This window comes from Homo sapiens, chromosome 3 (genome assembly GCF_000001405.40).
Source record: "Homo sapiens chromosome 3, GRCh38.p14 Primary Assembly".
NCBI lineage: Eukaryota > Metazoa > Chordata > Mammalia > Primates > Hominidae > Homo > Homo sapiens.
The window spans coordinates 50,873,036-50,886,446 of record NC_000003.12 but is presented as its reverse complement, the minus strand read 5'-3'; the positions used below and the strand labels follow the sequence as shown (position 1 = coordinate 50,886,446).

Below are 13,411 nucleotides of genomic sequence, written 5' to 3'. Positions count from 1 at the left end.
ATGTACCCTAAAACTTAAAGTATAATAATAATAAAATTTTTTAAAAAAAGGATTTAAAAAGCAACTGCACGTAACCATAGCTAAATGATGACTATCGTTTATCTGTTTTTAAAAAAACAATTGATAGTAAAAATCTTTAAAATATACATGCTTGGCATACACTTCTGGGAAGATGAAATAAACATACTTTTCAGTATTTCTCCAAATAACACCTAGTGCATACCTAAAAACTCTGGAATATATATATATATATATATATCTCCAAAATAAAAAATATTCTGAAAGGCGGAAAGAAGAAGGCAGACCAACTAGGGAATGTGGGAGACACAAAATAACATAGTGGTGAATTCCCTAGTTTATCTTTTTGCCATATGTATCAGGCTATTTTAAAGTGAAGAAGCTGGAAACCTGGAAATACCAACAGGAACAGACAGAAAGAAACTCCAACAAAAACTTGCTCTCTCTAGCCAAAGAACCAGGAAAAGGTCATCCTATTAAGACAGAAAACTTTTAAACAATAACCACTACCCTGCTGTCAAACAGCAACCCCCTCTGCCCCCCACACCAAAAAACTGTGACCTAATCCCCACCCACACGAGTAAGGTCAATTGGAGATACTAGACTTTCACCACCATCAGGCAGTAACGAAGCACTCAAACCCACATTGGGGTAACGTAAGAGGTGGCTGACTGTTTAGGGACCCCAAAACCTTCTACTCCAGTAGGTAATAACAAGCTCCCACCACACAGTGGCAGTGGAGATTGCCTGGATTATCTGGACTTCCACCCCTAACCAGCATTAATAGGACTCCCTCCGTCAGCCTTCTCTGGTGGTATCAGAACTGCCCAATGGGACAGTTGGACTGAAAAAGTACATGAAGAAATAATGGCATACTAGTGAGGATGTGACTCAACCTCATTCATTGCTGGTACGAATGCAAAATGGTATAGTCACTTTAAAAGACACTGGCAGTTTCATACAAAACTAAACATAGCCTTACCATATGATCCAGCAATTACACACCTAGGTATTTACCCAAATGAGTTGAAAAGATGATGCCCATACAAAAAAAAAAAAAAAAACTGCATACAAAAGCTTATACCATTTTTCTTCATAAATGCCAAGACTTGGAAGAAACTACGATGTCCTTCAACAGGTGAATGGATAAGCAAACTGTAGCACATCCATACAATGAAATATGATTCAGCAATAAAAAGAAATGAGCTACAAAGCCACAAAAACATGGGGAAAACATTAACTGCATATTGCTAAGTGAAAGAAATCAATCTGAAAGGCCACATACTGTATGACTCCACCTATATGATATTCTAGAAAAAGCAAAACCATAGAGACAGTAAAAAACACAGTTGTTGCCAAGGTTCCTAGGGGAAGTGGGAAAGGATGAACAGGTGGCACACAAGGACATTGTTAGGACAGTGAAACTATTCTGTATGGTACCGTAATGATAGCTACATGACATTGTGCATTTGGTAAAACCCTTAGGATGGTACAACACAAAGAGTAAACCCTAATGTCAATAACAAATAATATTAATAGTGTATCAATACTGGTTCATCCATTATAACAAATGTTCCACACTAATGCAGGATATTAATAATAGGAAAACTGTGGGGGGCGGGGAGGAAAACCCTGTACTTTCTGCACAATGTTTTTGGAAACCTAAAACTCTTTAAAAAAAAAAGTCTAATTTGAAATGTAAAATTTTAAAAATGACACAAAACTTTCCAAATTTGGAAAAAGACATAAACGTACACATTCAAGAAGCTGAATGAATCCCAAGCAGGAAGAAAACCAAGGAAATACACAAGTTACAACATAGTCACTTTGGAATACCATGGGCAAAGAAAAAAATTGACAAGAGAGAAACAACACCTTACCTATAGTGAAAAAAACCTATCTGAATTATCAGCAGATTTTTCATCAAAACCATAAAAGACAGCAGCACCAGTTACAATAGCCAAAAGCTGTTTACAACCCAGATGTCTATCAACTGATAAATAAATGAGCTGTTCATATTATTGAATGGTATATATCCAGCCAGGCATGGTGGCTCATGCCTGTAATCTCAGCACTTTGAGAGGCCAAGGCGGGCAAATCACCTGAGGTCAGGAGTTCAAGACCAGCTTTGCCAACATGGCGAAATCCTGTCTCTACTAAAACTACAAAAATTAGCTGGCCGTGGTGGTGGATGCCTGTAATCCTAGCTAATCAGGAGGCTGAGACAGGAGAATCGCTTGAACCCAGGAGGCAGAGTTTGCAGTGAGGCGAGATGGCGCCACTGCACTCCAGCCTGAAAGAGCGAGACTCCATATCAAAAATTAAAAAAAAAAAAAAAGAATGGTATATACTTGCAGTGAAATCTTATTCAGCCATAAAAAGGAACGTACATGAATGAACTCAGAAAACATTATGCTGAATGAAAGAAGGCAGATGCAAAAGACACCTATTATATAATTTCATTTACATGAAATATTCAGAATAGGCAAATACACAGAGACAGAAAGAAGTCATATGGTTGTCAGCAGCAGGAGGATGAAAAAGTATGGCCACTTAATGGGCTTGGAAGTTTCTGTTTGTGGAAATGAAAACATTTTGAAACATAATAATGGTGATGTTTGTAAAACATTATGCATGTACTAAATGTCACTCATGGTAAACGTTATGTGTATTTTACATTCTAGATTTTTGAAAAATAAGTATAAAATATTTAAAATACAAATTTCTATAATTTTCAATGAAAATATAGAAGACAGAAGGAAGTGGCACATTTGTCAAATGCTGAAAGAAAAGCACTGTCAATCTAGAATATTATATCTACCAAAAATACATTTCAGGAATGGAAGACAAATCAAAACATTTTCAGATGAAGGAAAACAAAAAGAATTTGTCATCAACAGAAATACCCTAAAAAAAAGTAGTGAATGAAAATTCTCTAAGCAGAAAGAAAATGATAAAACAAAAAACCATGGAACTACACTAAGAAAAAACAAAAAATGTAAGCAAACCCATGGGTAAATATAATAGACATTCATTTTTCTCTTGAATTTTCTTAATTAGGTTTGATGGTTGAAGCAAACATTTTTTTTTATAAAGAAAAAACTTCTCCTTGTGCGTGATTATTTGCCATTCACAGATATCTAGCAAAATGGCCTTTTTTTTTTAATACTTCAAGTTCTAGGGTACATGTGCACAACGTGCAGGTTTGTTACATATGTATACATGTGCCATGTTGGTGTGCTGCACCTGTTAACTCATCATTTGTATTAGGTATATCTCCCAATGCTATCCCTCCCCCATTCCCCCACCCCACGACAGGCCCTGGTGTGTGATGTTCCCCACCCTGTGTCCAAGTGTTCTCATGGTTCAATTCCCACCTATGAGTGAGAACATGCAGTGTTTGGTTTTCTGTCCTTGCAATAGTTTGCTCAGAGTGATGGTTTCCAGCTTCATCCATCTCCCTCCAAAGGACATGAACTCATCCTTTTTCATGGCTGCATAGTATTCCATGGTGTATATGTGCCACATTTTCTTAATCCAGTCTATCATTGATGGACATTTGGGTTGGTTACAAGTTTTTGCTATTGTGAATAGTGCTGCAATAAACATATGTGTGCATGTGTCTTTATAGCAGCATGATTTATAATCCTTTGGGTATATGTCCAGTAATGGGATGGCTGGGTCAAATGTTACTTCTAGTTCTAGACCCCTGAGGAATCTCCACACTGTCTTCCACAATGGTTGAACTAGTTTACAGTCCCACCAACAGTGTAAAAGTGCTCCTATTTCTCCACAACTTCTCCAATACCTGTTGTTTCCTGACTTTTTAATGATCGCCATTCTAACTGGTGTGTGATGGGATCTCATTGTGGTTTTGATTTGCATTTCTCTGATGGCCAGTGATGATGAGCATTTTTTCACGTGTCTGTTGGCTGCATAAATGTCTTCTTTTGAGAAGTGTCTGTTCATAGCCTTTGCCCACTTTTTGATGGGGTTGTTTGATTTTTTCTTGTAAATTTGTTTAAGTTCTTTGTAGATTCTGGATATTAGCCCTTTGTCAGATGGGTAGATTGTAAAACTGTTCTCCCATTCTGTAAGTTGCTTGTTCACTCTGATGGTAGTTTCTTTTGCTGTGCAGAAGCTCTTTAGTTTAATTAGATCCCATTTGTCTATTTTGGCTTTTGTTGCCACTGATTTTGTTGTTTTAATCATGAAGTCCTTGCCCATGCCTATATCCTGAATGGTATTGCCTAGGTTTTCTTCTAGGGTTCTTATGGTTTTAGGTCTAAGGTTTAAGTCTTCAATCCATCTTGAATTAATTCTTGTAAAAGGTGTAAGGAAGGGATCCAGTTTCAGCTTTCTATGTATGGCTAGCCAGTTTTCCGAGCACCATTTATTAAATAGGGAATTCTTTCCCCATTGCTTGTCTTTGTCAGGTTTGTCAAAGAGCAGATGGTTGTAGACGTGTGGTATTATTTCCGAGGGCTCTATTCTATTCCATTGGTCTATATCTCTGTTTTGGTCCCAGTACCATGCTGTGTTGGTTACTGTAGACTTGTAGTATAGTCTGAAATAAGGTAGCATGATGCCTCCAGCTTTGTTCTTTTGGCTGAGGATTGTCTGGGCAATGCGGGCTCCTTTTTGGTTCCATATAAACTTTAAAGTAGTTTTTTCCAATTCTGTGAAGAAAGGCATTGGTCACATGATGGGGACAGCATTGAATCTATAAATTACCTTGGGCAGTATGGCCATTTTCACGATATTGATTCTTCCTACCCATGAGCATGGAATGTTCTTCCATTTGTTTGTGTCCTCTTTTATTTCGTTGAGCAGTGGTTTGTAGTTATCCTTGAAGAGGTCCTTCACATCCCTTGTAAGTTGGATTCCTAGGTATTTTACTCTCTTTGAAGCAATTGTGAATGGGAGTTCACTCATGATTTGGCTCTCTGTCTGTTACTGGTGTACAGGAATGCTTGTGATTTTTGCACATTGATTTTGTATCCTGAGACTTTGCTGAAGTTGCTTATCAGCTTAAGGAGATTTTGGGCTGAGATTTCTAAATATACAATCATGTCATCTGCAAACAGGGACAATTTGACTTCCTCTTTTCCTAATTGAACACCCTTTATTTCTTTCTCTTGCCTGATTGCCCTGGCCAGAACTTCCAACACTATGCTGAATAGGAGTGGTGAGAGAGGGCATCCCTGTCTTGTGCCAGTTTTCAAAGGGAATGCTTCCAGTTTTTGCCCATTCAGTATGACATTGGCTGTGGGTTTGTCATAAATAGCTCTTATTATTTTGAGATACATCCCATCAATACCTAGTTTATTGAGAGTTTTTATTATGAAGGGCTGTTGAATTTTGTCGAAGGCCTTTTCTGCATCTATTGAGATAATCATGTGGATTTTGTCTTTGGTTCTGTTTATGTGATGGATTACATTTATTGATTTGCATATGTTGAACCAGCCTTGCATCCCAGGGATGAAGCCCACTTGATCATGGTGGATAAGCTTTTTGATTCGCTGCTGGATTCAGTTTGCCAGTATTTTATTGAGGATTTTTGCATCAATGTTCATCAAGGATATTGGTCTAAAATTCTCTTTTTTGGTTGTGTCTCTGCCCGGCTTTGGTATCAGGATGATGCTGGCCTCATAAAATGAATTAGGGAGGATTCCCACTTTTTCCGTTGATTGGAATAGTTTCAGAAAGAATGGTACCAGCTCCTCTTTGTACTTCTGGTCGAATTCAGCTGTGAATCTGTCTGGTCCTGGACTTTTTTTGGTTGGTAGGCTATTAATTATTGCCTCAATTTCAGAACCTGTTATTGGTCTATTCGGGGATTCAACTTCTTCCTGGTTTAGTCCTGGGAGGGTGTATATATCCAGGAATTTATCCATTTCTTCTAGATTTTCTAGCTCATTTGCGTAGAGGTGTTTACAGTGTTTTCTGATGGTAGTTTGTATTTCTGTGGGATCGGCGGTGATATCCCCTTTATCATTTTGTATTGCATCTATTTGATTCTTCTCTCTTTTCTTCTTTATCAGACTTGCTAGTGGTCTATCAATTTCGTTCATCTTTTCAAAAAACCAGCTCCTGGCTTCATTGATTTTTTGAAGGGTTTTTTGTGTCTCTATCTCCTTCAGTTCTGCTCTTAGTTATTTCTTGCCTTCTGCTAGCTTTTGAATGTGTTTGCTCTTGCTTCTCTAGTTCTTTCAATTGTGATGTTAGGGTGCCACTTTTAGAACTTTCCTGCTTTCTCTTGTGGGCATTTAGTGCTATAAATTTCCCTCTACACACTGCTTTAAATGTGTTCCAGAGATTCTGGTATGTTGTGTCTTTGTTCTCATTGGTTTCAAAGAACATCTTTATTTCTGCCTTCACTTTGTTATGTACCCAGCAGTCATTCAGGAGCAGGTTGTTCAGTTTCCATGTAGTTGAGTGGTTTTGAGTGAGTTTCTTAATCCTGAGTTCTAGTTTGATTGCACTGTGGTCTGAGAGACAGTTTGTTATAATTTCTATTCTTTTACATTTGCTGAGGAGTGCTTTACTTCCAACTATGTTGTTGATTTTGGAATAAGTGTGATGTAGTGCTGAGAAAAATGTATATTCTGTTGATTTGGTGTGGAGAGTTCTCTAGATGTCTATTAGGTCCACTTGGTGCAGAGCTGAGTTCAATTCTTGGATATCCTTGTTAACTTTCTGTCTCGTTGATCTGTCTAATGTTGACAGTGGGGTGTTAAAAGTCTCCCATTATTATTGTTTGGGAGTCTAAGTCTCTTTGTAGGTCTCTAAGGACTTGCTTTATGAATCTGGGTGCTCCTGTACTGGGTGAATATATATTTAGGCTGGTCAGCTCTTCTTGTTGAATTGATCCCTTTACCATTATGTAATGCCCTTCTTTGTCTCTTTTGATCTTTGTTGGTTTAAAGTCTGTTTTATCAGAGACTAGGATTGCAACCCCTTCCTTTTTTTTGTTTTCCATTTGCTTGGTAAATCTTCCTCCATCCCTTTATTTTGAGCCTATGTGTGTCTCTGCACCTGAGATGGGTCTCCTGAATATAGCACACTGATGGGTCTTGACTCTTTATGCAATTTGCCAGTCTGTGTCTTTCAATTGGAGCAGTTAGCCCATTTACATTTAAAGTGAATATTGTTAGGTGTGAATTTGATCCTGTCATTATGATGTTAGCTGGTTATTTTGCTCGTTAATTGATGCAGTTTCTTCCTAGCATCGATGGTCTTTACAATTTGGCATGTTTTTGCAGTGGCTAGTACCATTTGTTCCTTTCCATGTTTAGTGCTTCCTTCAGGAGCTCTTGTAAGGCAGGCCTGGTGGTGACAAAATCTCTCAGCATTTGCTTGTCTGTAAAGGATTTTATTTCTCCTTCACTTATGAAGCTTAGTTTGGCTGGATATGAAATTCTGGGTTGAAAATTCTTTTCTTTAAGAATGTTGAATATTGGCCCCCACTCTCTTCTGGCTTGTAGAGTTTCTGCCGAGAGATCTGCTGTTAGTCTGATGGGCTTCCCTTTGTGGGTAACCCGACTTTTCTCTCTGGCTGCCCTTAATATTTTTTCCTTCATTTCAACTTTGATGAATCTGACAATTATGTGTCATGGAGTTGCTCTTCTCGAGGAGTATATTTGTGGTGTTCTCTGTATTTCCTGAATTTGAATGTTGGCCTGCCTTGCTAGCTTGGGGATATTCTCCTGGTTAATATCCTGCAGAGTGTTTTCCAACTTGGTTTCATTCTCCCTGTCACTTTCAGGTACACCAATCAGACACAGATTTGGTCTTTTCACATAGTGCCATATTTCTTGGAGGCTTTGTTCGTTTCTCTTTACTTTTTTCTCTAAACTTCTCTTCTTGCTTCATTTCATTAATTTGATCTTCAATCACTGATACCCTTTCTTCCACTTGATCAAATCAGCTACTGAAGCTTGTGCATGCGTCACATCGTTCTCGTGCCATGGTTTTCAGCTCCATCAGGTCATTTAAGGTCTTCTCTACACTGTTTATTCTAGTTAGCCACCCATCTAATCTTTTTTCAAGGTTTTTAGCTTCTTTGCAATGGGTTCAAATATCCTCCTTTAGCTCGGAGAAGTTTGTTATTACCAATCGTCCGAAGCCTTCTTCTCTCAACTCATCAAAGTCATTCTCCTTCCAGCTTTGTTTCATTGCTGGCGAGGAGCTGCATTCCTCTGGAGGAGAAGAGACGCTCTGATTTTTAGAATTTTCAGCTTTTCTGCTCTGGTTTCTCCCCATCTTGGTGGTTTTATCTACCTTTGATCTTTGATGATGGTGACGTACAGATGGGGTTTTGGTGTGGATGTCCTTTCTGTTTGTTAGTTTTCCTTCTAACAGTCAGGACCTTCAGCTGCAGGTCTGTTGGAGTTTGCTGGAGGTCCACTCCAGACACTGTTTGCCTGGGTATCACCAGCGGAGGCTGCAGAACAGCAAATATTGCAGAACGGCAAATGTTGCTGCCTGATCCTTCCTCTGGAAGCTTCGTCTCAGAGGGGCACCTGGCTGTATTTGGTGTCAGTCAGCCTCTATTGGGAGATGTCTCCCAGTTAGGTTACTCCCAGTTAGCCAGGCGTGGTGGTGCAGGCCTGTAATCCCAGCTACTCAGGAGGCTGAGGCAGGAGAATTGCTTGAACCCAGGAGGCGGAGGTTGCAGTGAGCTGAGATCACGCCACTGCACTCCAGCCTGGTGACACAGCGAGACTCCAACATAAAAAAGAAAAAGAAAAGAAAAGAAAAGAAAAGAAAAGAAAAAGTGGCTGCCATTGAAGCCCTAGATAATGGTGCACTACAGAAAGCCACTGTCTTGTTCAGAGATGCCATCAAGCTGAATCCTCGCTTGACCATTCTGTATGTCAACACAGTCAGTATCTTCATCACATTACAGAAGCCAAACACTGCCATTCGAGACTGACAGAACAAATGAAATAAATTCTGATTTGGCTCAGCCTTATAAGTGGTGAGGGAAAGCACACAGATTTCTGGGCCATTGGAAAGAAGCAGCTATAATCTTGACCCTGACCATAACTGGATTATGATGAAGATACTAGTACAATGCTGAAAGAAGTTCAACTGAGGGCCAAGAAAATTGCACAACATTAGAAAAAGGTTGAATAGAAATATCAAGAGTAAGAAATCAAAGAAAGAATAAAAAGGGTTAAGAAGGCTCCGTAAGATCATGAGAGAGCTCAGAGGGAGAAAGAAGCCAGATGACATTCAGGAGCTCAGTATGGCTCTTTTCCAGGTGGCTTTCCCAGGGGGAATGCCTGGTAATTTTCCTGGAGCAATGCCTAGAATGGCAGAAATGCCTGGATGCAATGAAATTCTTAGTGATTTAGAGCAGGAGTGTTCAATCTTTTGGCTTCCCTGGACCACACTCAAAGAAGAATTGTCTTGGGCCACACATAAAATACAGTAACACTAACGAGAGCTGATGGGCTTTTTAAAAAAATTGCAAAAAATCTCATAATGTTTTAAGAAAATTTACAAATTTGTGTTGGGCCACATTCAAAACTGTTCTGGGCTGCATATGGCCCATGAGTTGGACAAGCTTGACCTAGAGGTTCTTGCAGCCATGCAGGAAACAGAAGTTACAGTGATCTTCTAGGATGTGGCCCAGAACACAGCAAATATGTCAAAACACCAGAGTAACCAAAAAAATTATGAATCTCATCAGTAAATTGTCAGCCAAATTTTTAAAGTGAAGGAAAATGTCCTTTGGACAAGTAAAAGGCCCTAGGTGAAGGAAAAGCAAACTAGATCACCTAATAAATGTTACAATAATACAAACCGGTGTACCTCTGATCAAGACAACTAGAAGGCTTTCAAGATCATCTCTACCCCTCTTCCCCAAATGCAGCTGAATATTTTACTGTGGTTTGCCATTAGGATATTCATTCAAATCATGTGTTCCTGCTAGAAATTACAAACTATAATAAAATACTAAATATTTATTCACTAAATATTTATACTGAATAAAATACTAAATATTTTAAACCTTAAAATATTTAAAACAAAAGGATTTGTTAGTTCATATATTTTTCTTTAATAATCATTTTGTATTTTTCCTTTATTAGGCAAGAAAGATACTTAAGTATGGAAGATTTATTGCTCTGGTTTTAGTGAAACACAGGTTTACAAATGGGAGGCAAATAAAACTAATTTAAGTAGATAAAGCTTGAGTTGAATACATGACTACTGAGGAATTTTGATTTCTCTTTTTAAATGGTTTTTTAACATGAATAATTCTGATAAAAATATTGATATTCCAGTATTTCAACAGAACCTGAGGAACAGGTTCTGTTTCTCAGAAACAGACTGGAAATACTTGGTATAGCAGCAGTAATCTTATTATGTTTTACATAGCATGCACCCTCTTGTCAGTTGCATTTAAACCTTACACGATGGTAAAGAATTTTTTTTAATGCTCCAGTAGAGCTGGATTATTCAGCTCTGTTCTTGTTCAATATATCATGAAAATGTTTCATATTATCTCAACAGCGAACAGGCGAAGACTCTCAAAACACAACAGTTGTTTTTTTTTTTTTAATTCAAAAATTAAAGAGGAAGAGATGATTGCAACTTCATTCTATGAGGCAAGCACTGCTCTGATACCAAAATCAGACAGGGACACAACAAACAAGAAAACTATAGGCCGATAATCCTGATGAATATAAATGCAAAAATCTTCTACAAAATATTAAATACTCAAATTCAACAACATATCAAAAACATCATTCATCGTGATCAAGTGGGATTCATCCCAGGGAATCAAGGATGGTTGAACATGTGAAAATCAATAAACATGATATATCACATCAACAAAATCAGAGACAAAACCCATATCATCATTTCAATGGGTGCTGAAAAAGCATTTGATAAAGTTCAAAATTCCTTCATGATAAAACCTCTAAACAAACTGGGTATGGAAGGAATTTACCTGAACACAATAATGGCCACATATAACAAACCCATAGCTAATATCATACTGAAGGAACAGGGAAAAATTGAAAGTCTTTCCAAAGAGATCTCAAACAAGACAAAGATAAGACTTCCACCACTTTTATTTAACATAGTACTACAAGTCTTAGCCAGCACAAACAGGCAAGAGAAACAAGTGAAAGGGTACCCAAACTGGAATTTTAAAAGCCAAATTATCCTTGTTTGCAGACAACATAATTTTTTTTTTAATTTTACTTTAAGTTCTGGGATACATGTGCAGAACGTGCAGGTTTGTTACATAGGCATACATGTGCCATGGTGGTTTGCTGCACCTATCAACTCGTCATCTAGGTTTGAAGCCCCGCATGCTTTAGGTATTTGTCTTAATGCTCTCCCACCCCTCCCCCACAACTCCGGTGTGTGACGTTCCCCTCCCTGTGTCCATGTGTTCTCATTGTTCAACTCCCACTTATGAGTGAGAACGTGTGGTGTTTGGTTTTCTGTTTCTGTGTTAGTTTGCTAAGAATGATGGCTTCCAGCTTCATCCGTGTGCCTGCAAAGCCCATGAACTCATTCTTTTTTATGGCCACAATGATCTTATATTTAGAGAAACCTAAAGACTCCACCACAAAAAAGCTTAGAACTGAAAAACGTATTCAGTAAAGTTGCAGCATACAACCTCAACATACAAAAATCAGTAGCATTTACATATACTACCAGTGAAAAATCAAAAAGGCAATCTGATTTACAATAGCTACCAAAAATAAAATAAAATACTTAGGAATAAATTTAACCAAATAAGTGGAATATCTCTACAAGAAAAACTACAAAACACTAATGAAAGAAACTGAAAAGGACACAAAATAAATGGAAAGGTATGCCAGATTCATGGATTGGAATAATTAATATTGTTAAAATGCCTATACTTTTTTTGTTTTTTTTTTTCTTTATTTATTTCTAAGATACAGGGTCCCATTTCATCACCAGGCTGGAGTGCAGTAGAACAATTAGCTCACTGCAGCCTTAAACTCCTAGGCTCAAGGGATCCTCCTGCTTCAGCCTCCCAGGTAGCTGGGACTACAAATACACCCACCATGCCCAGCTAATTTTTTCTTTTAATTTTTTGCAGACATACGGTCTTGCCATCTTGCTTAGGCTGGTCTCGAACTTCTGGGCTCTAGTGACCCTCCCACCTCAGCCTCCCAAAGTGCTGAGATTACAGGTGTGACCTATCACATTCAGCAAAATATCTATACTTCCCAAAGCAATCTATACATTTAATGCAATTCCTATCAAAATACCAATGACAGGAGAAAAAGATGGAGCAAGATGCTGAAATAGAAAGCTCCACTGATCACCCCACTAAGAGTACAACAATTTAACAAAAAAAAAAAAAACAAAAGAAAAGAAAAAAAAAAAAACACCTTCATGAAAACCAAAACTCAGGCAAGTACTTACAGCATCCGATTTTAACTTTACATTACTGAAAGAGAAAATGAAGAAGTAGAAAAAACAGTTTTGAATCACAGACATCACCCTTCCCCCAACCCATAGCAGCTACTGCATAGTGCAGAAAACAATTCTGTATGCTGGGGGAGAAACAGCGCGGAAATTGGGAGGCACTGAACTCAAAGCTGTTCCATTAGAGCAGAAATAAAAACCAGAATAAATTTGGCTGATGTGTGCCCATGAAGAAAGCATTTAAACCAGCCCTAGGCAGAGGAGAATAGCTGATCTCAGTGATTGGAACTTGAGTTCCTGAAAGTCTCACCACCTCAGGCTAAAGGCTCTGGGGCTCTAAATAAATTTAAAAGGCAGTTTAGGCCACAAGGACTGTAACTCCTAGGTGAGTCCCAGTGGTGAACCAGGCCCTGAGCCAGTGGATTAGGGAACACACAATCTAATGAGATAACAGCTAGGGTAGCTAAGAAAGTGCTGGCATCACCTCTCCCTTAACCCCAGGCTGTACAGCTTGCAGCTCCAACAGACCCCTTCCTTCTGTGTGAGGAGAGGAGAGGAAACAGTGAAGAAGACTTTGTCTGGCATCTTGGATACCAGCTCAGTCACAGCAGGATAAGGCACTGCTCAGAGTCGTGAGGTCATGAGGTCCCCTTTCCAGGCCCTAGCTCCCAGATGACATTTCTAGACATACCCTGGCCCAGAAGGGAACCTGCTGCCTTGAAGGGAAGGGCAAAATCCTAGCAAAATTCATCATCTGCTACCTAAAGAGCCCCTGGGGCCCTGAATAACCAGGAGTGATACCCAGGTATTACATCAAGGGTCTTGGGTGAGAATCTGAGACTTGCTGGCTTCGGGGGAAACTCAGCACATTTCCAGCTGTGTTGGCTACCGGGCAAGCCTTCTGCCTGAGACAAGTGGAGGGGAAAAGGAAACAAGGCTTTCTCTTGCACCTTAGGAACCAGCGTGG

The 13,411-nt window shown here is 38.8% G+C and overlaps 1 protein-coding gene and 1 pseudogene across 22 annotated transcripts in view, besides 1 other annotated feature; one reads left to right on the top strand and one right to left on the bottom strand.

Moving 5' to 3' along the window:
• Positions 1-13,411, bottom strand: part of DOCK3 (dedicator of cytokinesis 3) — a 709,272-nt gene that overhangs the window by 497,752 nt on the left and 198,109 nt on the right. The gene's annotated exons all lie outside the window — the stretch shown is intronic.
• ST13P14 (ST13, Hsp70 interacting protein pseudogene 14) lies at positions 8,793-9,382 on the top strand (annotated as a pseudogene).
• Positions 12,553-12,782: an enhancer, noted in NCBI's record as "active region_19915". NCBI's record gives its function as "activates an Ori minimal core promoter by ATAC-STARR-seq in GM12878 lymphoblastoid cells {active_cell/tissue: GM12878}" and the evidence as "EXISTENCE:reporter gene assay evidence [ECO:0000049][PMID:35858748]".